Source organism: Homo sapiens, chromosome 5, assembly GCF_000001405.40.
Source record: "Homo sapiens chromosome 5, GRCh38.p14 Primary Assembly".
In the NCBI taxonomy this organism is placed as follows: domain Eukaryota; kingdom Metazoa; phylum Chordata; class Mammalia; order Primates; family Hominidae; genus Homo; species Homo sapiens.
Window position 1 is genome coordinate 59,847,535 of NC_000005.10, and position 27,795 is coordinate 59,875,329.

The window sequence follows — 27,795 nt, forward strand, 5'->3', positions numbered from 1 at the left end:
AGTCAAATTCTTCACGAGTCATGGTACCTTTTAGAAATATTAGAAACCATCTAAACCTCTCAAATATCAAACTACTTTTCTTCCTGAAGTGTCAGTTTCTTCTGAACATGTTCTTTGTTTTTGGAGAAAATCCTGGAGAGCACTGATAATTCCCAAATTAGGCAAACAACCAGGAAAACCTCTATAATCTGAGCCCAGTAACTCCATATGGCAAATTTGACAGAAGTCTGCTCTGAAAGTCCTGCCTGAAACCATTGGCCTGCGCCAAGTTATAGAAAAATCATGGCAATGCCAATTCCTCTGCTCCAAAACCACTAAGATCAAATACTATTTTGAGCTTCTCAGCACAGCTTTTTTACTGTGAATATCATAAATACAAAAATATATCTGCTATGCGGGGCAGGAAGGTTCAAGTATTTCATTATGTTTCTTATTTCATAACATATAATTGAGATCTTCATGATTACAATGGGATATTTCTAAATCCATTGGTGAGCATTATAAAGAGCAATTCTTCAAAAGAAAGCAAGGCTTAGCTGAACTGTGAACATGTTTTTGACGATAAAAATCTGGCTGGTTTTATCCCTAAAGCTATTTTTTTATTTTAAAAGCTTTAAAAAATAAGAGTCACTGGTCACCTAATTGCATAAAGAAAAGACCCTCTAGTGATAGTTTATGCCTTTGGGATATCTGATAGGTCAAATTATCTAATGCTTGTACTTATCTTGTTTATTGTAATTTCAAGTGAATTTAGTGCTTAAAAAAGTTAATGTAATGACAGAAGGTGTTCTGACAACTCACCTGTTTCATTGTCTTCATAGCACTCCTGTTGTTTGAGCATTATCATTGCTAGTTGCATTAAATCCATTATTTTTGGTGTGCCAATATTTAGTTAAAATATACACACACATATATTAGGACATGTCTGTCTTTATGTAAGTTTTTGCAGCCACTAAAAATGATGTTCACAAAAAAATTTTAATGACATAGCAAAATACCTTTCTAATGCGATTAAATGCAGATTATCAAACTGCATGTATCTATGTATATGTAGAAAATAAAGGAAAATATATCACAGTTTTAACAATAAATAACCTATAATAACGGTATTAAGAGTGAGTAAAGCACATCAAAACTACAATGAGACACCACTTCATACCCCTTAAGAGGGCTAATATAGGAAGTATTTTTAAAAGAAGATAATGCATCCATTAGAATAGAAATATCAGCTGTAAAGTGTTCAAAAACACTGGGTTTTAAAAATAAAATCCGTAACCGGGGTAAGGGCTGCAAGTTTTCAACCTCTGCCTTAACTCATCAGGATAATTCTCCATAAAATTTGAGAAATGGCAGAACCTATTTCGTTGACTGAGGTGGTGACATGACAACAGGAATATGAACTCCATGGGTGAGAGATGGAAGGGAATACCCAGGCACACAAGGCTGCTCAAGGAAAGACAATTGAGCTGCCTTTTCATACAACTCGGCGCTGTGAGGAGGAAGTGTTTTCTAGTGTCCAGAATATGAAACCTGTAAAAATTGTTTTTTTACAGATATACAACTGTTTAAAATCTAAAATGTATTAAATTCATGTCTTTTTGCAGTAGGCAGGTGGGATAAATAAGATAAAAGACTCATTAATCATTCATTTAAACATTTGGTTTAAATAGTCATCTGGAAAACTAAAAAAAATTATAGAATGCTTTTTCAAGAAAAAAATCATTATTTAATAGAGATCATCTTGAGTACGGAATGATGTTGAAACTGTTTTATTTTATATGATTTTGAGTTATTGAACAATGACTGATGATAAAAATAAAAATTTAAAGAAACAAGAGCAACAAAGAGACATGAAGTTTTAATATTTCCAGTAAAACATAAATAACTTGTAAAGAAAAGGAGATCATGTAGAAATGTGCTCTGTGTTCATGAAATTCATTGTTTATATCCACAGGCTCCTAGAAAATATGAGTGTCCCCTGTGAGCTGCACTCATCTCTATTATTTATATGTTTTATTGACTTGTTTTAAAAAGTACAAAGATGAGCCTCAGCCTGATTTTCCTAAAGGTCAAATTTCTTAAATTACCATCAGTGAGTTTTTTTTTTTTAAATCATACATGGACAAAAGAGAGTTCACAGTTTGGTGCCTGACGTTTTCTATTGTTTTTGTCCCTTATTTATTTTGTTTTGTTTTTAAGAGATAATTTCTGAAGTGTCTAATGCATAAAAATGTTTTGAAACTCTTCTGTAAAACTCAATTTTTGTTATAGTTTGAAGTTGGATGACATGGAATTTTTAAAGTTAGGCTGGGTGCTATGATTTGTTGCTAAAAGCAAGTAGTATTGAAAACACAATATTTAGGCAGTGTTCTCATTGTCTGGGTACTATACATATGGGCAGTTGATATATTTACTTGGTAATATGAAGCCAATAAGCTGGTCATGAGACTGGAAAGAAGTTTGGAAAGGAAGAGGGGGGCAAAATATAACTATATCCATACTAGAGATTTGCATTGATTAACGTGTTGATTAGCCAGCAGTTTGACATATCCAAACTTCCTTTGTCCCAGGAGAAATAAATCAAATGTCAGATTTTCAACTTCCTCCCTCTACTCTTTAACACGTACATACTGACACATGCACACACACACATATTTAAAAAAATAAAATTCAACTGATTTGGTCAGACACACTGAAAACTGGTTAATAGATTAGAATAATCAAAGTTGTTATTTTTAAGCTAGTTGCATAGAGAATAACAAAGAGGGTTACGCCAGAACCTCCAAACTTTTCTTGAGTCTATGTTTTTAATCATTATGCACATCGGGTTAGGAGTGCCCATTTGTAAAATGAGCATGGTAATAAGATTTACCACAAAGGGTTGTTATAAGAATAAAATTGAACTATCCAATGTGTGATTTAGCACTGTGGCTGCCTCGATTTTAGGACTTGCATAGTCACTATTATCTGTCGTTCTTATTTCAGGCAAAGAGAACAGGAAAAGAAAAGGCATAGAGACGTGAAATTGCTTAGGATGTTTTGGGGAAACATTAAGAGGTCCAGCATGACTGAAATACAAAAATAGTTGGGGGAGGTGAAGGGGAATGAAAGGGATGACGCCAGAGATGGTACAGATTATGTCCTCAAGTGCCTTTACCTGCAGGGTTATAACCGTGGGAGGAGTCATGGCTTTAAGGAGGCTATTTGAAGCGTTTTGAAAGGGATGACATTGGAAACAAGGACAGGACTTATAAAGCTACCGCAGAGGTCCAATAGGAGATGAGAACTTGAGTAGACTATGGCAGTGGGCATGACAGAGAATGGAAATATTCCAGAAATCTCTTTCCTTTAGTTTTTTAAATATTTGTTTTGTTGTTGTTAACTGAGGTTAACAAGAAAGCCCAGATGATATTTGCCTCCTGCTATTCATGGTGCCTCCTATATTGCATCAGGATTGCCCAACAGAATAGGGCAGAAGCAATGATGTGTAACTTTTGAAGTTGGGTCCTATAACACATTGCTGCTTTCCTCTCATCCTCTTTGATCTCTCCATCCAATGTAAATCAGCAACCATGTTATGAAGACACTCATGCAGCCTGGAGAGCATTTCATTTGCGGAAGAAATGAGACCTGCCTGCAACAGCCAATACCAACTTGATCATGTGAGTAAATCACCTTAGAAGCACATCCTCCAGCCCCAGTCAAGCCTTTATATTTCTATCACCCTGACTGACTTCTTAACTGCAACTTCATATGAGTGCCAAAGCCATAACCACTGAAGAAAGATGCTTCTGAATTCTTGACCCATAGAAACTGAGAAGTTAGTTATGCTATTGTTTTAAGCCACTAAGTTTTGGGGTAATTAATTACCCCATAAGAGTAAACTAACAGAGATTGATCTTATTTGCACATAGACCTGGTATGTTAGACAGATTCTAAGATTCCCATCTCCTCATGTTCAGGCCTTGTGTAATTTCCACTTCTGAAGTGTGGATAGAATCTGTGAATACTACGAGATACCACTCCTTTGATTCTGTTTTTTTCAGATATAATTAAGGTTACTAAACAGCTGGCTTTGAGTTAATAAAAAGGACTATTTTGCTGGTGGGCCAGATATAATCATATAAAACCTTTAAATCTGGGTTTAGAGGTCAGGGTCAAATGAAGTCAGAGAACCCAAGCAGTAGGAAGATTCTTCTGTTGGCCTTGAAGGAGTAAACTGCCATATTGTGAAGAGGGTTACGCAGTACAGAATGGCAGGTGGTCTCTAGGAACACCAGTCTGTCAGTCACAAGTGACTGAATTCTGCCAACAACCTGGATGAGCTTGAAAGAGAACCCTCAGCTCCACATAAGGACCGCAGCCATGGCTAACACCTTGGTTTCAACCTCGAGCTAAGAACCCAGCTACCCTTTGCCCACACTTCTGACCTACAGAGGTGTGACATGTAAATGGGTGTTATCTTAAGCTGCTACATTTTTTAAATTATTTGTTAGACAGCAAAGAAAACTAGTACACCTGGCTTAGATGATAAGATCTTGGACTTCGAGCTGATGCCATAATAGAATGAGACTCTTGGGAACCACAATAAAGGGAGTATGTTTTGCATGTGAGATGGAAGTAAATCACTGAGGGCCAGAAAGCAGTCTTCTTCACTGGTAGCCAGCCTCCAAGATGGCACCCAATATGATCCTACTCATCTCTGGGAATTCATTCTTTTCTGTAGTCCCTTCCTCACTCTCACATTGCGTAGGGCTGACCTATGTGAAAAAAAGGATACGTTGGGAATGACATTGTGTGACTTTTGAGGCTCTATCATAAAAGACATTGCAGCTTCCACCTTAATCTCCTATGGATCACGCACACTTTGTGAAACAGCCCACAAACCATGAAGATCCTTAAGCTGCCCCATGGAGAAGACCACCCAACAAAGAATTGAAGTCTCCCCCCAACAGCAGGCACTAATGTGCCAGCCATGTGAGGGAGCCATCTTGGAAGTGAATCTTCCAGCTCTAGTCAAGTATTCAGAAGAATGCAGTCCTGATGTATATGACTGTAATATCATGAGAGAGTCAGCTATAATCACCCAGCTAAGTTTCTCTTAAATTACTACAGACCTAAAGAAACTGTGGGCATAATAAAATTTCATTATTGTTTTAAGCTGCTAAATTTTGGGTATATGCAGCAATAGGTAACTAATTAAGAGGTGTATAAGACAGTTTCTAAAAATTGAGTCCCCTCTCCAGGTTATAGTGGACAATCAGTTTGCAACAGAAAAAGAGACAGGAATAAAAAAAAAAAGAGTCGTTCAGTAGTATTTTAGGGGAGGTTTCCAGATAAGCACAGGCTAAATCTGTGGTTCTTGTTCCCATAGTTAATAGATTATATGTCTCTGATTAAAAAAGTGATGGCTAAAGACAAAAGACTTTGACAACTGGACCAGATGAAAAGATTAAGAGTTCTCTCTCTGGGCTCTTCTCCTTAACACCTTGATTATATTTAACACTCCCTTAACACCTTTCTTTATATGTCTTGTACAAAAACAGCAGCAAAATAGAAGAAAAATCCTTTTAGACCAAATAATGACAAAGTGGAAACACATGCCTCTTAGACACAATGAAAATCGTGATATGAAGGACTCCTCTGTACTGTAGAACAGTGGCTGTATTCTGGGAGGAGGAATTTAAATGCCATACAGAAGTGTAACTTCGACTCTGCTAATTTTTCACTGAATTTCAAGAGAAATTTAATGTCTGTAAAATTAGATTGGAAATATAGAGGCCATACAAATTCACAATTTGAGATTGAAAATAAGCAAATAAGTTTAGAAGGGAGTCTTAAATGTAATTTGTTCTGGTTATAAAAATCCTAAAGCTAATTATAAAAATTTTGAAATAAAAAAGTGAAGAATATAAAATTTATCCATAATCCCCATATTTAGAGCTAACTACTCTTTTCAGTTTCCTATGCATATGTTATAAATTGAAATATTTCTGCCATTAAAATTTTATATTTTCGTCTAATTTAACTAGCATTAATAAAATAATTTCCCTGTGCTATTAAAATTATTTTTAAGCTATATCTAAGTGCCACTTTTAACAGTCTTTAAACTATAAATGTATGCTCAATGTTAAAATCAAAGAGGCAGGGCAGAAACAGGCAAAAATTTGGGAAAAACATAACCCAGAATTAACATTCACTTTTAGTGTACCAGCTTCCAATCTTAAAAATATACATGTTACACATTTGCATACACATTTGCAAAAATGACATGCTATGTATACTGAGTTTATCTTGCTCTTTTTTGGTTTCAATTAAAAAATTCAATAAAAATATTGTTTACAACATGATTTAATGGGTGCCTAGTATTCTATCATATGGACATAATTTACATATTTATGAATAGTTCCCATTATGGTACAGTTTGGTGGTTTTCTTTAATGAAAATTTTGAACATGTATCATTTCAGTTTTAGATTAATTCCTTAGGATAACTTCTCAAAAGTATAATTATTGGGTGAAAAATGTATGCATAAATTCATAGTGATAGATATAGCCAAAGAATTTCCCATAAATATTGTTGCAATGTATATCTTAACCAAGATGAAAGCAGATCCTTTTCTCCTTCACTGGTTATGAGCGCTTTCTCATTTTTAGAGAAATCTGATAGACTGGAGATGGCATCTTGGTTGTTTTCACTTGCATGTCTTTTATGAGTAGTAAAACTAATTTTTTCATGTTATCTTGACATTTTTTACATGCCCACCTATTAATGTCTTATATCTATTGAAAATCATTACATTTATCCTTTTATTGTCTTGTAAAACCTGTTTCTATGTTAAATTTATCAACTCTTTGTCTATGCATATAATTTTTTTCAATTTGTGACTTCCTTTTTAATTATCTTCATTCCTTTTCAAGTAAATTAAATTTTAAAACATATATGTACTCAAATATGTCAGTATTTTCCCTAATGATTTCTTCCTTTGAAGTTGTGCTTAGAGGGTATCACCCTAAACATCCAATATTATATAAGCATTGAGGATATTTTCCTCTGAATTTATGTGGATTTGATTTTTATAGGTGGTTCTTTAAAACTCTGTATCTGAACCTTATCTTGAAATAATATGTGAGATTAGAATCTCACTTTTATCCCAGTAGTATTATTTAAAAGCAAAGGTATTGCACAATTAATACAGTCACCCTATATAATAGAGACAAGTAAAAAGAAAAAAAATGCCAACTCTAATGTGAGTTATTAACATTTATTCACCCTCTCTCCCACTCAGCCTCTCTCAAGTTGTCTTGCTTGAAGGTGTGTGTTGGCAGGAATGGGGGACAGCCATGTATGCCAGGCACCGAACACAGCAGCTTTACATGTTTGTATTTAATTCTCGACTAGACTTGTGAGGTAGAAATTACTCTGTTTCAAAGATGAGAAAGGAGGGACTTGGAGAAATCAGAATGCTGGAGATTATAGAGTTCAGAGCCTGGCAAATTTGAGTGTGTATATGAGTTCCTGGTAATGTTGCCAAAATGCGGGCTCTGATCCAGTAAGTCTAGAAGGGGCCTGAGATTCTCCCTTCTAACCAGCTCCCTGGCAATGCTGATGCAAATGGTCTGTGGACCATACTTTCAGTAGCAAAGACAAAGATGACAATTAAATAATGGAACTTGATGTACCCCTAGGTCTTTGGACTTCTGTTTCTTTCCACACTATCACGCTTCCTCTAGCTGCTGTCAACACATGTGTGCTTGTACTTTTAACAAGGTTCCATCCTAAAACAAAGTCAAACTTCTTAAGCCTCACTTTTATTTACAAAGATACACGTAATAACAAATATTTAAGAAATCTGAAAGTCAAAATGAGTGATGAAAAGAAATTTAGAAGGAAAACCTCAAGAGTGTATGTCACAAAAATGTTCCAAGCATGCTCTCCAAGGGAACTTGTGAAAATCCATTACTAAAATTAATTTTTAAGACCAGAGGATTATATCCCACAGAAAAACCAGAAGGGTAGAAATTTTCATAGTTCATATTTAATAATCTACCCATTCTCTAAATATGAAACATTCACAATTATTGCTCAGGCCAATGCCTACTGTGAATGTTTTTGAAATAAGAGCATTCTAGTCTCATAATTTTATATCCTCAATGTATTCTTAGGAGGCAGGAAGAAGAAATTATTGCCATTCAGTATGAGACTAACTTTTTTTGAAGGCAAGCCTGAAAAGAAAGAGCATTTCTTCACACAAATACATATTTTTGATTCACATAATTATTATATCTACAGAAGACTTAATTTGAACTCAATAAAAATGATCATTTTAAACTATGAGTCAAGTATTCTACGATATTGCCCTTGGATTGAACAAAAATTACATATGATGCAGGCAATCTTTTTTTCTGGTTTGTTCACTAAAATATGACAACTATAAGACATATTACAGCTTAGGACTAGAGAATCTAAAGAGAATTACCCTCCAAAAATGAGATGACAATCCGATGTGAAAAGTAGACTGAATGTAGAGCTCATAATTCTACTTCAATACCACTATTTCCTAGTAATAGATAAGAATCATATCATTTTTAGCTGGAAAAAAATCTTAGAGATCATTGAATTCACCCCTTGCTCTTGTTAATGACTTTGCTATTGCCTTTATTTATAGAAGTGGAAGATAAGTGGTATTTCTCTTTTGGCATTGGAATTCTACACACAGACATGGTTTTGCTCTTCCAGCTTACTGAGCCATTCTGATGTTCATACTTACAATACAGGCGAAGAGAAGACTATTACAAAGGATCATTTTAGTGGAAAAGAAAGTCAGAATTAAATATCTCACTAATCTATAAAAAATTATTTCTGTAGGTGCATGTTTCTCTCATCAATGTGTACGACAGTTAAATGCATAAATCTCCCACACATCAATGGAAAAATAAATCTCGTAGTGATGAGCACATGACAGATTTCTTTTCAGAATACGGGAAAATACACAGTCACAGTGGCTGCAAGTAATTTTGTAATTGCCTTACTCTATTACCGACACGGCATCTGCTCAATGCTCTGAGACCTTTTCCTCTCATCACTGAATTTTGCATTTAATTTGCATAATGTGTCAAAGAAAGAAAATAATGGATCTGGCTGAACTTTCAACTGAAGTAAATCATGGGGAAGCAATGCAGAAGCAGACATCTCTCTAGAAATGCATTAAAATACAAGGGAAGTCAACAAGGAGTCTTAAAATGCTCATTTCCAAGTACTGAAATTGCATTTTTTCAAACTTTTACATGAAAGCTAAAATGTTAGTCCTCTTTTTAAAATATTCTTTCAAAAGCTTATATTTCAAAGAAAATGAGTATTAGTCCTTTTTTTTCTACAACCCACCCACTTGGTAAAAGGCACTAGATAAGGCCCTAAGCATCACAGATTTGGAAATACAAGGAATGGGATGATGAACTAACTTCAGCATTGATTATGTCACATACAAGAGTCCTGGTTGCCCAAACAATCTCTTCGTCATCTGCCAGCTTCTAAATCTTATTCCCGAATTTAGATTCATGAAATGCCCCGCAAGTGTGCAAAGTCAGCAATCAGCCGAGAGCCTACACCAAGTGCACCACCTTGGTCATGTGTGCTAAAGCTACAGATCTACATCTCCCTTATGCCCTTGGTCAATCTGGGTTTACACATCACGCATTTGTCCAGAGCAGGGGATACCTGTAACTTGCTTGGTATGGAGAATAATATTCTATTGTTATCACTTTTGTTGTACTTTCTGATAAATCACCTTTATCTCTTTAACTGGTTTATGGGTGATGGACTAGCACCTTCCTAACTCCAGATAAGTCATTTTTTATTCCTCTTTTCAAGATGCTAGCTCCCAGAATACATCAAAGACTCTTATATTTTCAAAATATATGAAAAAGAATACTTGAATTTTTTCACCTCAAATTTCATCTCTGAATATCACAAAGGGAGGGATTATAAATAAATTATGACTAAAACCTTCCAGGTTTATTTCCCTGATGAGCAAGTTATTTCTGAATCAGTATTGATTTTTTTGTGTGAACTATCAACCACTACCTTTAGAACTAGTAACATTTTGGAAGATGAAACTGGAAGACATTTCTCAATGAGTTTGATGCACCAATAAATTTATCAGCCAGACTCTGTTTCTAAGATTCATAAAATTTACTCCAAGGAATACAGGTGAGGAAGAGCTAAAAAAATCTATAACATCAAATGAGAACTCATTAACTAGATACTCAAATGATAAGAATTGAAGAAATATAAGGGAGAGAGGGAGAAATGGAGGAAAGGAGGGAGAGCAGAAGGAAGGAAGGTGGGAAGGAAGGAAGGAAGGAAAGAAGGAAGGGGGGAGGGAAGGGGGGAGGGAGGAAAGCACATAGGCAGTCAGGAAGTAGGGAGAATGGAAGGAAGGAAGGAGAGATGAAGGAAGGAAGGAAGGAAGGAAGTAGCGAGGGAGGGAGGGAGTAGGGAGGCATGCAGGCAGGCAGGAAGTCAAGCAGGTAGGCTGGGTTGTTTCCATATGGGACTCTTTCTATGCAAAGACAAATATTTCAATGATTCTGAGTTTTACTTTGGCTCATGATATAAAATTGGTGCATTTCATAGGTATGTGAGTATCTGAGAGGTGAATGAGTGTTCTTAGACACTTGGGCAGCAGCTGAAGCTCACCTGGCATTCCTACTTGATGCTCTCATAGTTCAAGTCTCAACTATGGTGATTATTTGGAGCAAAGGGACTGGAGGGCCTAGAATTTCCCTGTATCCTACCTCTCTGTGGTAGGATGTATCATCTGGCCCCAAATCCCTACTCCTTGCATCTATGTATTCATTCTGAGCCCTCCCATCAAGGGTGGGAGGACCTGCCCCACTGCTTGTCTTTGCCCTCATTCACGGGATGTCAGTAACTGTCATGACAGAGACTTGAAAATGTGCTTTTGTGTTGGGCTTGTTTTCTTCCACCTCTTCCATCTCCACGAGAAGAACACACCCAGGCAAGCTCATCAGTCCCAGAAGAAAGATGAGAGAGAATGTGGAATGGAGATGCGCCAGCTCACATAGATGTCTGATTCTATCTGACACTCACATAACTATCCATAAGTTCAACATAGATCAACCAAACACCAGTTGCCCCTCAGATTTGTTAAAAATAATAAATAATTTCTTGTTTTAAGCCACAGTGATAGCTAATATATTTTCCTTTTGCCTTCATGGTGGGATCTAACAAAATTAGTCAATATCTTTCAAATTAGAGAAAATGGGTACCAGTCTCAAGGGGATTTCTTTGGTCTTTGTCAAATATTCACTCAGATAAAATAATAACAAGAATGAATGTAAGTTTTTACAAGAGACTCTCACGGAGGAACTACTATACGCTGGTTGATATTGAATAGAGGCTCCAGAACAAACACTGCACAAGTACTGAAGCAACATGGGAATTTATGCTTTGTTGGTAAAGCAATAATTCTTGCAAATTCACTAGTGTTATTCACAAAGACACTAAAAGCATCTGTTTGTTTAAATTGATAGCCATTATAATCTTTAGTAAGTATTTGTTTTTCCAAAACAACTAAGAAGTGAACATCTTTCATTTCCTAGGGAGAAACAATTCAAGCAAAATTTCAGGCTAATACCTGACAAACAATAACCTATTTTCCAGAAATTGCCACTTAGTTGTTTTCTTAAAGACATGAGAGGTGCCTCTCATTTCCTCAGCTCTGCCTTTTCTGCTTCCTAAAGGACAGTTCGCTATGTTTGATGTAAAAATAGGCAGTGTAGGTGTATAGAGGGTGGTTTCTAATGGTCATACTTCACCATTCATCTGATTTCTACCATTTCCTTCTCCTGACAAGGAGTTCTTAGGCCTCCGACAGAAATCCATGTATAGAGGGTTCAAAGGTAATTCCAAACAGTTCACATGATAATAAGGTTAGTAACCCTCCCCTAAACTCATAGCAACATGTGTCATTTGTCTTTATAAGGTAAGATTATTCTCTGGTTTTTTAAAAGTATGTCTAATGATGTGCTTTTTGAAGAACAGGATAATAACCAACTAAATTTTCACCAAATTTCCTAAAAATTGACTGAAATTGACTCCTTTTGTGAGTGTTAAAAGGATATGAATTTACATTTCCACTGCTGGATAATAAAATGGTGTGATGAGCTGTACCATGGTGAGATTCTACACAAGTGAGGCACTCATGAAAGTGGTACTTGGAGCCCAAGGTAATCAGGGAAGATGAGCTCCTGAGTGTGGATATAAGAGCTTATCAGTTTGGTTCTTTGTTCCTAGATTTCAAGATTGATATGATCAAGTTTACAAATTGGTCCTCTAAAAGTACAATGGCTAATGCTAAGGATGGGTGTGCAGGGATTGTAGTTGGAAGAGGCCCACAGACTCTTAAACAGAATTTGGGAAGAAAGGGATATTTGACAGTTGAATTGGAGTTTATTGAGTTATACATTGCTCCATTTTCATTGGCATAGTAAAAAGGTTAAAGGAGAAATCAACAAGATATTAGGGATAGCTATAAGGACCCGTCGAGTAAGGTGATTTTCCCAGTGATTTGGGGATAATGGGTCACATTTCCTAAAAAATAATGGCTCTCATGGCTTTTTACTGTGAGAATGGATAGGTTGAGCAAGGATAACAAGAATCAGCCTGGGGCCCATGGAGATGGATGCTGTGAAGTAGATGGATGCATAAACTTGAAAATTTGAGACACTGAAATAAGTCACTTGTTATTGATTATCTTCATGAAAATGATGCCATTGGATGTAATTAAGAGCACTTTCTTCTTAATTGAGGAATTCTGTGATGAGATAGGTAGTCTTCACCTTGTTCCACATACATGCACCCCACTAAGTGATTTTTTTCTAAATATATTATACAATAGGGAACTGTTATTTTACTTATTGAAGTTAATAGCTACTATTGTAATAATTTAGTGACAACATTTGTGCTAATTGCTGAGCAGAATATTTAAATGAATCACTTTTAAAATATATACTTGCAAGATGAAAATAGGTTTAAATCCTAAAAGACCACATTCTAATAAAAACACTGAAAATGAAATCTGAGAATCACATTTAACTGGCTTTTAGTCACAAAGTAAGCAGAAATAATAAGCATAAACATAATTGCAAATAAAATATAAACCGAAGGTCCTCCAAAGAATCCAAACTACAGTATTCTTTCTCATTCAAGATACTACCCTACTTAATACCACATAAATTATCATTAGTTTCTGATAAATGCTAACATAACCTTGTTGTTCGAACTTTTTTTTTTTAATTATTTTTATTTTTTATTTTTTTAGATGGAGTCTCGCTCTGTTGCCCAGGCTGGAGTGCAATGGTACGACCTTGGCTCACTGCAACCTCTGCCTCCCGGGTTCAAGCGATTCTCCTGACTCAGCCTCCCAAGTGGCTGGGATTACAGGCACCCGAACACCACACCTAGATAATTTTTTTTTTTTTTTTGTATTTTTACTAGAGATGGAGTTTCGCCATGTTGGCCAGGCTGGTTTCGAACTCCTGACCTCTGGTGATCCACCCGCCTCAGCCTCCCAAAGTGCTGGGATTACAGGCATGAGCCACTGCGCCCGGCCCAAACTTTTGAATACAGATAAAGCAATACAGAAGCTGTGGGTTATTTGTTTTGATAAAGACAATAACCTATATTTAATTTAGCAACATTTTTAGCAGAAATTTAAGAATCAATAAGCCTAATTTTTTTTAACTCCAGCAACAATTTAATGAGTCACCTAATTTATTTTCAGCAAAGCCTAACAAAGCCTCAGCTGGAGGAGTTTCCAAGCGAATTGTTAGCCAGTTAATAGAGAAAAATGCTAAAATAGGTCATTGACATAGGTAGACTTCTACTTCTACACAACATTCTCTGAATTTCCCCTATTCCCCCCAAACTACCAGTTCAGTTCAGTAATTACATGGAGCAACCATTCGAAACAATGGGAAAACAATCAATTTGAGTGTCTCTTCAATTATATGGAGAAAAAGAGAGGAGAGGAGTAGCGCTCTACTTTTCAGAAAATTTGCATTCCTGTTCTATGGTTAATGTTCATTTTTTTTCCCCCAGCTCTCATCTCACAGTGTTGGACAAAAACTTCACCCTGTGAAAACACATATTACCAAGGACTGTATTTGGACATTTGCATTGCAGTTCCTTGGGGAGGATCATTGTTAAATATGCAGATTCTCAAAATAAAGGATGGAAAACTTTGTGGATATGGAGCCCCAAATCTGCGTTTATAAAAATTCTGTTAAAGCTTTGTGAAATCAGGACTGTTTTCCTGCAGATCAGAGGCTTAAAAGAAAACAACAGCTGGCAAAGGCCTGAGTAGGGCCAGCCTTAGGCAAATTGTGAAGCAGTCCAAATTTAGAGTTTTTATCTCTCAGTTCATTTGAGAGTTTACTTAGAACAACTTGCTTGTCCTCCTGTGCCAGTGCTATTGGCCTCTCTTCTCACTGCCCAGGGGACCACTCAACACCACCCTCCAATCAGCTGAGCATCCCAAATGCAGTCTCCTTACTCCTGAGTGTTAATGCCTAACTGGCCGCTCCTACTCTTCCAGGACATTCCCAAGGCTACATCCTATGCCATCAAAACCATTTCTATACCTCAGGGGCCTACTCCATAAGGCTGGACGTTTCACCAGCTAACACATTTTAAGTTATCAACCTGTTTGCTTTTTAAAAATAATATTTATAATTTTTATTCCAAAATAATGCTTGCTTAAAACAAAATAATTAGAAAACTAAGAAAGAAAGAAGGAAAAAGTCATATCTAATCCCATTTGTCATGCGTATCCTCAGCTTACCCTGACCTCTAAGATACATATGTACAAATTCATGTATTGTGTGGGTGTGCGAACTCACACACAGGCATGTGAAGGGCAGTGTGTTGGTTTAGTTCCTACCTCTGGAACCAGACTGGCTGACTGTGATGCTAGTTTTGCCACCTTTGCCAGGTCACTTAACCACTCTACACCTCAATCTCCACGTCTGTAAAATGGGGATGCTAATAAGACCTATCACAGCGTAGTTTTGAGCATGAGTGTAGGCATGGTTAGCCACAGTATGTGCTGTGGTTAGCACATGCACACTAGAATCAGCTACCTGAATTTGAATCCCAGCTCAATAACTAGCAGATTTTTTTTCCTGCGGAAAAGTTTCTTAATATCTCTGTGCCTCAATTTCCTTATCTGTAATATAAGAAGCTCAATTGGGTAATGACAAATAAAAAGTCAGATGACAAGCAGTTTTACAGCTTCTGTGTTATTGGAATTAAAAGGGCAACGGAAAATTACAAACTAATGATATGAGATGAATTTGACATTTCTATTCTTGGGCTATTAGGACTTCTGGACTAAGATTAACTTTCATATTATTGTTTTAATTATAAAAGAAAAAGCAGTATATTTTCTAGGGAGGAAGAAGGTAAACTCTTATCGTGTTCTTAAGGGATCCATGACCCAAGCAACATTAAGAACTGCTAGGGCATTAGATGATCTTCTTGCTCCAACATTCAATAATTTTACATTTTATGCTACCTATTTTGAAAATCTACTTCCTTAATTTTTTAACTTGAATGACATCAAATGTACTCCAAAGTAGCATTTCTAATACTAAATTCCATGAGACTCTAGTGTCTGTCTAGGTACTCATAAATAGAGTGCCAGAATTTGGAAAAATAATCCCAGAGTATATTTTCCTTTTATCAAAATCAGATACCATGATGGCCCATTATTTATATATGTGAATAATACTATTAACTTTTTGTTTTGTTAATTTCTTACTATTTTTTTTTCTAATTTAGGACTAAGACAACATTTTAGAAGAAAAATGATTTTCTATAGTCCTAAAGAGTTCTAAATCACTACTTCAAAAATCATGAAATAGAAAATTTCGAATGAAGCACCGAATATCTTTTAACTTCAGTTTGAAAAGAATAAACTTTTCTCTATGAAGGCTAGTCAGTTCACTGAAACAACCATTGGACTGAGTTTTTGTTTTAGGCATGATGGTACTTCTATCTACATGTTAATTCTCCAGCATTTATCTGAATTTATGCTCTAAGTATGCATGTTTGTTTTGGTATTGATCTCTGTCCATTGACCTGAGCTCTGATGGAAATGATAGCAAACATGAGATGTCTTTTAGTTCCCTAAGTACCAGATATTTTTAGTTTAGGATTTTTTTTAACATAACTTATGTTTGTGATGGTTTTGGCACTGTGACGAGGGGAGCCCTTTTGCCAGTCCTGAAAAATCTCCATTGTTTTAAAAATATCCCTCCATGCCATTGATGAAATCCAAAAGAACTTCAAGGATGAAAGGGACGATGCAGCTTCAAAACCCTGACTGGCTCCCTGGAAGGCTGAGTCACTGAGCAGTGCCCTGCGTGTAGTATTCATGGGAACAGCACACAGCACAGCATCATTCTTCTGAGCTGGCAGGGAGCTGAAATTAACTGAAATATCCACATCTTGGAGGCTCTTCAGAAAAGGATTTGCTTTCTGTTCAATAACCTCATGGTTCAAGCAGTGCAGTCATGGGCATTAGTGCGATGTGCGGGTAGACATTCTCCTTAGATGTCTTAGATGAAACCCTTGGAGTCCAGGGGATGCTGAGCAGTGGTCAGCTGGTAGTCTGAAACCTTATAGAATTAAAAGCTTTAACTGGACCTAGTAGGAGCTAATATTTTCAAATACCCACACAAGTTCAAAAATATGACAATTTTTGCAATTGAAATCGTAAATGTGTTGGCTATTATTTCTTTCTTTGGCTGTAACCTGCATGTAAAAGAGATTTTCTGTGAATTGACTCTAACAAATGCTTTTAAACACCTGTCTGATTAATCAACACATTAAAATAGTGTCTTCCTAAAAATAAACCAGCTCTATTTTTATTTCACTTGCCCTTTACCCTCTCACCAATAATTATTCAATGTTGGCTAATAATTAATTGCAATGTAAAAGGGCATTTCACTATGCTTAGCAAAGAGCTGGGTATATGTATAGAATGCCTGACGTGTGCCTATGAATAGTTAGGGAAGATTGCCCTCTGAGTTTGAATGTGTTATTTTTGGTGGTGTTATTTCCTGTGTAGCTCTATGGAAATAACAAACCCAACAGACTGGCAGTACCTTTCACCCTTAGATGCCTGTGGAGCGTGCCCTTGGGATAACGATTACAGACATGCCCTGTAGCACTTGTTCCTTTGTACCACAGGAAAGACATGGGGCTACAGAGAGGAGTTGCTGCTAGAGGCTGATACATGATGTCACTCCACCAGGTTCCCCAGTGGACCTACTCAGAGCACGGTAGGATGCTGACAGGCCTGCTCTGGAGGACTGCAGTGCCCAGCACAGCAGCAGACAGTCTCAGTGAGTAGCCTGAGATTTAGCAATTCCCACACCAGGTCACCTAAGACTCTTTCTGGGACAGGCTCAGCCAAGAATAATAACTACCTTGTTATCAGGAAAGGGCAGCAAGCCTTTTCTGTGAAATAGCCTAGTATTCTCTACATTTCTTTCTGGGAGTGAATTTGCAAGATTTTTACAGAAATAAAGGAGAACATCTGATGCCCAAACTAGGTGGCTCTTAAAACTTAAGGGAGCAATTTGGTGCAAAACAATGTTTAGAATTCTTCAATAGATTAAACATAAAAGGAAGATGAATTTAACTGGAAGATGTCTCACCTGTTTTTCGAAAACTGTATGAGTAACGAATATATTTTGGTAATTCTCCCATGTAGTGTAAATATTCACAATAACTTAAAGTCTGTAAATGTAATTTAGATTTTCAGGATTAAATCCCAGTTGAGCTAAAACTGATTAACTGAAAAACAGAGGTGCCCCTTAGGTTTCTTCTGGTGGTTTACTCAGGGACCCACTGCCACAGCCTTTTGTAGAGCCAAGAGAAATGTGTAGCCTAGGTTCTTCCCCAAACCCAGCAACTCAATGACAAATCTAGCAGAAATGTCACCATAATATTCTGACTAAAGCTTCAGAAGACACTATTTTGAGACAGAGTGAGTATATTGTATCTAAATTGTCAGGTCTTTGTACGCTCATATTTATTTAGTAATTTCACTTTCCTTTTTATATCCCATTTCAGATAGTGGTCATTTACTATAGTAATAATGATGACAAACTATTATTTATTGAGTGCTGACTTATATATTTGATTTCATGTACATTATTTTAATCCTCCCACTAAAATGTAAGTTCTGCTATTACCACTGATGAGGAAACTGAGTCAGAGATACAAAGGGACATGAAAGACATGTAACTATAGTAAAGTGTGTGGTGCAAACAATCCAACCTAAGTCATTCTGACAGGTGATTGCTGCTAGAACGCTTTGCCTCCAGCACTGTTAAAACAACTGGATTCCTTTAAGCCCTGACTATGATCTTTTAATTCTGAAATACTATGAAAATGTAATTTGCTAATAATTTACTGTGGATTAAGTATATGAGTAAGAAAGCTTATTAAATCAACAGTTCTAGTTTCAGTCTCTACTATCTTCTCAATCATTTGTGTCTTGTTTTTTATAGAAGTTTTCAGTAAGCAATGACAACTGTATGTTGACAGAAAACCATTCTTAAAATTTGCAGCAGACAGGACTCCTATACATACTTCTTTTTTTGTTTATTGAAAATCTTATTATCTGGATTCTCTCTCATTATACTTTCATTTCTACAATATTTTCACCTTGGCACAGAGACATAAATATTAAAACCAGAAGATCACATTCTAGTAAAAGAAATAATGGTGTTTCCATCACTGAGAATAAGTGCTTTTTCATATATATTGCAAATTCCAAAAATGTCTCGGGAAATGAGTTAAGGAAGGAATTGCTTATTCCATCACAAAGAAAATCTCAAACAAAATAAATTTACATAAGAAAGTACATGAAGACTGGGTGTGGTGGCTCACTCCTGTAATCCTAGCACTCCGGAAGGCTGGGGCAGGAGGATCACTTGAGCCCAGGAGTTTGAGGTGACAGTGAACTATGATGATGCCACTGCACTCCAGCCTGGGCAACAGAGCAAGATTTTGTCTGTAAAAAAATAAAAATAAAAATAAAGGAAAGTACATGAAGATGCAGCAAAGCTCTGGTATCAGTAATATTCTGAAATAGAAACAGCCATTCCTTCCTGTAGAAAGTCTGTCTTGAGTTTGAGGAGTCTCTGGAGGATGTATGATGGGCAAAGCTGAAGTTGTCACGATCTGCCTAATCAAGTGTCTCTTCAACAGTGTCCATGGGGATTACACAATGTCTAATGAAGTTTTAGGATGATTTGTTAGACTAAGCCTTCCATCAGACAGAGTTCTTTCATTAATTATGATTCCACCCTAGAGACTAACTAAGCAATATGTCCCAATCTTAATAAAAGTCCTCCTGAGCACGTATGAATTTATAAAGTAGAAAGTAAAAGCTGTTTCCACTTTTTGAAGATAATTTGCAAACTGGAAGTCAGACTAGATGGCACAGGTCACCTATATCTGGGAGCCTAAAGATGATTATAATTTCAGAGGATAAGAAAGGAAGCTTACTTAATTGAGATGTGTAGAGAGAGAAGGGTATGAAGCCAGGAGAACGAGATGTGACCCTTGATCCCAGAGAAGAAGATCTTCAAGAGTCACTTCTATGACCTGGCAATGGTTCAAAGATACTTTGTATGAAATGAGGACACATTTTTGGAAACTAATGAGCTTCAATGAAAAAGAGATGAACATATTTTTCGACTTCAGCTAAAAAAAAAAGATTAACTTCCTTAATAAAAATAAAATTAAAACTGCAATTAGACATTGCTTTCACTTATTTAAATGGTAAATATTAAAATTTTATAATGCAATCTATTAAAAAGTATACTGAGAAAAAGCAAAAATAGTCATGTGAGGGTAAGTTTGGTGTAATTTTTTTCAGAACAATCTACTAAAATCCTTTTAAAAAATATGTATTTCCTTCCTTTGACTTGGGAATTCCACCTCCAAATATTAATTCTAGAGATATATTTACTTTACATGAACAAATAAGTAAAAGAATAGTCATCACTACACTGTAGGTAGTGACAAAGGATGGGAAACAATCCAACAGACTCCAACAGGAGTCTGGTGAAATTATGTCTCATCCAGATCATGGACGATACTGCAATTGCTAAAAGCACTATGGCAGATTTGCATGCAGAGTTAGGAATCAATCTCCTTGCTATATCATTAGGGAAGATAAGCAGGAAGCAGAATATGATATATTATGTCTTAGCATTTGAGTAAACACATAAAAGATCTCCATTAGGAAATACAAGAGTAGCAGTTGCCTCCAGGAAAGGGAATTGGATAATTGAGAACTAAAGAGGGGTTTACTGGTCATGAGTATCTTTTGATACTGAAGATCGTGTGCTTGTATCATCGAGTCAACCCAATTAATCAATTGATCTTTTAGAAAAGACTGGAAAGAAAAGGTATCTAAAACGGTCAGGTTGCAAAGTCAAGTAAAATTGTGTCAATAAAATGGCTCGGAGAAGTGATTCTCAAATATCTGGGTATCAGAATCTCTTTATAGTCTTAAAAATTATTGAAGACTCACAGATTTCTTGTTTATGTGGAATATTTGCCATCTTAAAACTGAGACAATTATAAATATTTATTTACTAATTCATTTTCAAAAAATATAATAAATTTATTTTCGGTAAAAATAACTATTTTCCAAAAAACTGTGAGAAGAGTGACAATGTTTTTTATTTGTGCCACCTAATGGAAGACATCTAGGTTCTCATGTCTGCTTCCGTATTCAATCTGTTATGAAATAATATGCATCACATTGTATAGCTTCTGGAGAACTCTGCTGAGAAAATGTACAGTGAAAATTACAAATGACATGTTGGTGTTATTATGAAAATATGTATGGTCTCACAGACCCCTAAGAGAATCCTGGGGACCACCCTCTATGAGCCCCTTAGAATAAAAATAGAACTTTGCAACTGAATTGCCATTAGAGAAAAAAGATCACTTTCTTTAGCTGAAGTTCACTTTCTAGTATTCTCTAACTCCATCAGTAATGTCTAACTGTCCTAAAACATGAGTTCATAAAGCTCAAAGAAGGCAACGGTGCCTGATAAAAACAATCTTCTAGGAACGACAGTTTACCAAGTTTAGTTCTCCTGCGAAATAATACTAGCAAAATGTTCTTTGTGTAATGTAGTTTCTCACACTGGCTAAACAAGATTATCTTTCAGAAAATAAAATTCTAGCTCTAACAGATTCATATTTTAATTTAAGAAATACCAAACTATTTCCCATCTCCTCTAAAACTATCATAGTCATATTATTCAACCTCTGTAGAATGGGAAATGCAGCATCTAAGAAAGCATCTTTTGTAAGGGGCTAACAAAAGTTGTAATTAATGTAGTAAATAACAGTAGTTTATCCTTTCAGCACATTTTTATTGAATTCACTTTATGTTCATTTATTGTGCTCTGGGTTGATGATAGAGTGGTCAGAAAAACAAGCCTGCAACCTGCCTTCATGGAGCTGACGATCTGGCTAATAGACATTAATGAAAAAAATCTCATAAGCTGCTATGGATGAAATAAAACTACAGTAAGCTCTGAGAGTCCCTAACAGGGCCAACTGGCAAGATTTGGAGAATCAGAGACACATAATCAGAAAAAGGGAGATTTGAACTGAGAAACAGGAGAAGTAGGGGGTTAATAGGCAGTGACGGTAGGGTTTGGAGGTATTATTCAGTGTAGAGGAAACAGTATGCATAAAAACTCCAAGGCAGGAGTGAGTATGGTGGTTTCCAAGTGCTGAATTAGGTCAAAATCAGCCAAATAATAGAGAGTGATGTCACGAATGATACAAGATGTGCTGTCAATATACACATGCATCAGATCATGCAGATTCCTGAATGCCATGGTAAGGATTTCCATATTTATAATGAGAGCAACAGGGAGCTGTTGAAAGGTATTACAGACACTTGTTTGTGTTTTTGTTGGCATGTTTACCGGATGCAAGATGAGGTGGCCTTGCATCTAGCATAATGGTTCGTTTTCTCGTAATTACCAGTTGAAAGTGAACCTCACCACCTGCTTGTTTGAGGTTCAAACAATAGTCCTTGACCTCAATCAGCAAAGTGGAATATAACATTTCAGGTCCTCAAAGTGAGTTTTAAAGTGAAATTTTCTTACTATCTGCTATCAAAAACTTCAGGAAAAGTGAATTTTCAGGATTATTACCTAAGATATCTAAGGAATGTCAGCATCCCTCCAATCCTCTGGTTCTAAAAGTTTTATGTAAGAGTGAGTTAATAACCAGAACTGTCCATGCTAGGAAAGTAATAGTATGGCATTTGAATCACCTGCCCGGAGTCCAGCTTCAACATTCTAGCCTTGGCTTCTAATAAAATTTGTTATAAGAAAGAATGCTATGATAGATACTTCTGGATTTGTTGCCCACATACCATTAGGGCAAGGTCTGTTATCTGGAATTTTCCATAAAGTCTCATGTGGTAAAAAACATTGCTGGAATTTTGTACCCAAGACAACATGTTTTTCCCTAAGGAACATTTCTTCTTTTGCATTAATGAGAGCAAATTATTTAATAAATTGCCACATTGGCCCAACCTTGATAGAGTTAAAACAAGTTAAACAGAATTAACTATGATGGCTCTTATGCTTTCTTTCCTTTGCTTCATTCCAACAATATATTTTGCTCATACCAAATCAACTTAAATTCTATTTCATAAGCTCTCTCTAATTCTTTTACAAAGTGATATGTGGAAACATATATAAATGTAACAAATGCACATGTTCAGTTTTAAGAAGTACACTCGATATATCCTCAAAAGCTGAAAAAATAAGTTCAATGGGACAATTTCATTCATTACAGACTCCTTTTCTTTTAACGTTGCTAAAAGCTTAAAAGACATGAAAGCATAAATATTTATTTGTATCACTGTAAGAATGACTGACCACTACATAAAATTGGAAAAGAATGCATGCCTAAGAAGGGACTACTTACCTTATTGATATAGTTTTCATTACAAAAATCAGGCTGGTGGCATCAAACATGTGGGCCATGGCCTCACTCCAAACTGCTGAAGCTCATTTGGGATCACAAACGATTTGCTAAAGCCTCACCACTGCTGCCAAGACAGGGAGATTGTACTGAAATGTACATTTCAGAGCCAAATTTAGTGCTTTCTTGGCTACGAAAGGTGAAGCCAGGACAGCAGAAAGGAAACCTAACAATGGGAAGACAGGACCCTGGAGTAACTTCAGGAAAAACTAATCCAAGTAAGAAGGCATGGGATGTGCAGTTGCCGCTTGTTTTGGGATACATGTAATTCATTTTTTAAGTTATTAACTACACACATAAATACACACTCACACATATACCTGCATAAACATAGAACACGATTGTGGTGGGCAGAATTCTAAGATGATCTCCAATAGCTCAGGCCCTTACACTATCTCCTCCCAGATGGTCAACATCTGTAATTTTCTTTTAACCAGTGGAATATGGCAAAGTTAAAGGATTGTTCAAATGTAATTAGCATCCTTAATCAGTTGACTTTAAGTTAATCAAAGGTTATTCAGGGTTGGTCTGGTCTAAGCAAGTGATTAGCTCTCCAAAAAATGGCCTAGAAGTCAGAAGTCAGAGTTTCTTTCTCCTGCTGACCTTGAAGAAACAAGCTTCAAGGAATTTTACAGTGGTTAAGAAATTGATTCTGCCAACAGCCACCTGATATGGAAAAAGGAGCCAGAACCTCAAATGAGACCCCAATCCTGGCCAACACCTTTCTTAAAGCCTTTTGAGACCCTGAACAGAAAACCCAGCTAAGTCAAGTGCAGTCTCCTGACCCATGGAAACTGTAAAGTAACAAATGTGTATTGTTTTAAGATGCTAATTTTGTTGTGATTTGTTATGCTACAATAGAAAATAATATAATGATGTTTGGTGCTGTGTGAAAGGTACCATGCTGAAAGCATACACTTCGGTTGCTTAATTAGTACAACTTCAGTATTTGAATATAACCTAAGAAAAATCAATGGGTATTGACAAACACACAAATACACAAATGTATACATCCATACACACTGAAATTTGCCATCAAGGGAGAAAAAGCCAACTTGTTTTCATTACCTACACCCTCAAATTTACTTCATCTTTTGTCAAACTCATCTTAGTTAAAGGCAAATTTTTTCATTTTTGGACTAGTTGGACAATTCTAGGTCCAGCTAGAAACCTCGGGGTCATCACTGACTACTTACTGCCCCTCATCCCTTCTAACAAATTGGTCACCAAATCGTACTACTTCCTTTTGATTCTTTTTCATCCCACTCTTTAACTCAATCTCTACTGCCACTCATGAGCTCTTCTTTCTACCAAACAATGCTTCTATCTGATTTATCTGTTCATAGATTCCCCACCTCAACTCCACCAAGCCCACGACTTCCCTTTCAGTCTTAGAGGTGCTCCCTAGGTCAATGGGAAGGAAGTGAAGGAAGTCAAGTAGAACTAAACTTGGCGACGATGGGAGAAGAAAGGCTAGAGATCAGATAACAGACATGCCTAGGAAATGATAGATGAGTTTACTGACCTTGTTATGGATTCTGAGCATTATCCTGTAAACAATGCAAAACCACTGATGGATTCACAACAGAAGAGTTACACACACACACACACACACACACACACACACACACACAAGAGCACACAGGCACACACACAGCATAGTCTTTCCTTGCAGGAAATTATTCCTAATTTGGAAATGAAGGTTCTTTCACAAATCAGCAAGTTTTTTGCAATAAAAAGCTACTTACCAACTCTGCAAACTTGGATATAGTCAAATCATTTTTTCCAACTTTTTATTGTGGTAAAAATACACATAAAATTTACTATCTTAACAATTTGATAATCATAATTTTTGGTAAACAGAATTTGGAATCTGAGATAATAATCATGACTGTATAGACCCTGCATAGTAATGGTTCAATTGAACTTAGTTCTAGTTCTTTCTCCTCCCTTTTGCTAACAGTGAAACATCAAACAATATTCATCTTGCCCATTAATATTGAAGTAAAACTTGCTGAGGCAGTTTGGTCTCAGGGAGTGTGCACATTTAAATACCAAAAAGTTAACATCTACCTAGAAGCTAGAGAACAAAGTTAGAAAACAAAGAAACAATAGGGAATATTTTTGCCTTTGGGTAATTCAGTAGTACTGATCAGTAGGAAAAAAAACTCCTACTGACTGGTAAGAAATGCCATAGAATATGGGTACGCTCAATGAAAATGGAAGGTTTTTTTCATATGCCACCTCTATTTTCACCCTCTTAGATACAACGAAACAATTAGAGACTGCATGTCTTCATCTCTGAATGTGCTTGTGCGCAAAATGGCTATGTCTAACCAGATACTCTGCATTTACATTGTGAAAGGTACCTTTCTGGGGCTGAAACGCTATACTTTTCCCCTTCCTTCATTTCTTGTCCCTCCTCATGTATACAAAACAGTGTTTGGAGAAAAGAAATATATACTACATAGAGTCAAGTCATTAAGTCTAATTCCAATTCTCTAGTTCGTGGTTTCAAAGGAAAAATTCTGAAAATTTAAGCAGAGATCAAGAGAACATTCTTCTAATTTTCTGTACCCAGATGACACAGATTTTTAAGGGATGACACAGTCAGGGGGATGACTGGGCAGATCTTGAAGCAATCTGGTAGTCACATGGAATCAGCCTTTTTTAAGGCCACACTCACATTTTGGGGCTGTAATTGTTTGAACAGCGTAGAAAAGTGTCAGAGCTGCTAACTGCACAGCTCACCAGATGCAGGAGTGGGATTTGCCACTCCAACTATGCAGAAGCTTGGATTGAGCCAAGAATCTGGAAGGAGACAATATGAGAGGCTTTCCTTCTCCAAGGCTTAAAAGGGCATGAGATTCTATTAGGCTGAACCATGTGAAATTAGCAATATTTTACAACTTTTACCTATGAAGTTGGTTCGACACAGTACATTGCAGAAATGAAGAGGGAGAATGTGCTTTAAAATACTGGTGTAATAAATCATACATGTCTCTAAACCAAAACAATAAAAGTACATAAGCAGAAAAATACTCTATACGATGATAGAATCAACAGGCCATGGCGTTTTACATTCGCTTTCAACTCTGCTGGGTATGTTTTTGAAAACTAGTGACTTATGCCAATACTTCCATTCTAACCAATATTCTTAAAAATCAAAAAGAGTTGTTGAAATTTTGAAAAACCAAGTAATCTAGTAATACAAAACAGCTTTCTATTGTTAATAATTGCATATATAAGAAGCAAGATTTAAGCTAGGCATGGTGGCTCACACCTGTAATCTCAGCACTGTGAGAGACTGAGGTGGGAGGACTGCTTGAGCCAGGGGTTCAAGATCAGTCTGGGTAACATGGTGATACCTTGTCTCTACAGAAAAATTTTTTTTTAAAAAAATGGCCGAGTATGATGGCTCCCTACGCAGGAGGCTGAGGCAGTAGGATCCTTTGAGCCCTGGAATTCAAAGTAGCAGTGAGCCATAATCATGCCACTGCACCCCAGCCTGAGTGACAGAGTGAGACCTCATCTCTGAAGAAAAAAGTAAGATTTAGAGTTGGTGAGTCCAGTGAGATGTTACTTTTCACATAATGTCCCTTCACTCTACTTCTCAACATCTCCATGGTATTTGCACAAACGTGAATATTCTCATTGCATTATTGGAAATTTTATCACATCAATTCCTTTTGACACCATGAATAAAACTGAAATATGAATACTGGAGAATTCTAATGTGTGCCAGAAGAGAACTTCAACTTCTATAAAAAAGTGTTCTTATTGAGGAAACAATTTTCACTTAACAAGACTGTAGATAATAGAGTTATAACTCAAGAGTGATGATATTCATTAAAGAAAATAGACCTGTGTTTCTTTACTCTCTCTACTGGTTATGATTTCTTATCCATTTTAAAAAAAAATAAAGTATTGGGAGAATACAAAGTAATATTATATGTAAAAAAGAACCAGCAATACTGTACCCTTTCCTCACACAAAGAAAATATTTGCTTCGGAACTGGGTTCTTGCCTTGACTATGTCAATTATCACAGTTTTTCTCCCTTACATTCAATCATCCCAAGGAATTTCCAACCTGACTTGGTGACTCCCTCCTCCCTTTCATATAGATGGGACTAATGGAGCATTAATCTGACTGTGAAATGATTCAATTTCAATTTTTCTAACCTGAGGCTATAATTATTTTTCTTCTTAGACCAGTAAGCAATGAGTCATTAAAGAGAAATTCTGTGGGGCAGAGGTCCCATCTGAGGTCCAATCTGATAAGTGCACAGGGTACAAAAGTTTGCAGATATCCTCCTTTTCCAGGCAATGCAGAAAAATCCTGGTATCTGGTAAGCTTCTCTTTCCATATATTAATTATTAAGGATCCCACTTATAATATCTACAGATTCTCTGCTCTTTTAGTGATATATAAATCATGGAATAAGACTATCCAAGATAAACTGTCCTTTGTTCAGAGTTCACATTTCAAATGAACACAAGAAGGAATCTGTGGCTGGGCATGGTGGCTCATGCCTGTAATCCCAGCACTTTGGGAGGCCGAGGCGGGCGGATCACGAGGTCAAGAGATTGATACCATCCTGGCCAACATGGTGAAATCCCATCTCTACTAGAAATAACAAAAATTAGCTGGACGTGATGGC

The 27,795-nt window shown here is 36.4% G+C and overlaps 1 protein-coding gene and 1 long non-coding RNA gene across 18 annotated transcripts in view, besides 1 other annotated feature; both read right to left on the reverse strand.

Moving 5' to 3' along the window:
* Nucleotides 1–27,692, reverse strand: part of LOC107986350 (uncharacterized) — a 42,415-nt gene extending 14,723 nt beyond the window's left edge. Inside the window, exon 1 of the long non-coding RNA XR_001742414.2 lies at nucleotides 1,531–27,692. This is a non-coding gene — a long non-coding RNA (uncharacterized LOC107986350). The remainder of the gene's footprint in view (nucleotides 1–1,530) is intronic.
* The window catches only part of PDE4D (phosphodiesterase 4D), a 1,553,091-nt gene that overhangs the window by 878,497 nt on the left and 646,799 nt on the right, over nucleotides 1–27,795 (reverse strand). The window lies entirely within an intron of this gene.
* Nucleotides 21,805–22,306: an enhancer, noted in NCBI's record as "NANOG hESC enhancer chr5:59165165-59165666 (GRCh37/hg19 assembly coordinates)". NCBI's record gives its function as "activates a minimal SCP1, AML or CMV promoter by ChIP-STARR-seq in primed H9 embryonic stem cells {active_cell/tissue: H9 hESC(primed)}" and the evidence as "EXISTENCE:reporter gene assay evidence [ECO:0000049][PMID:30033119]".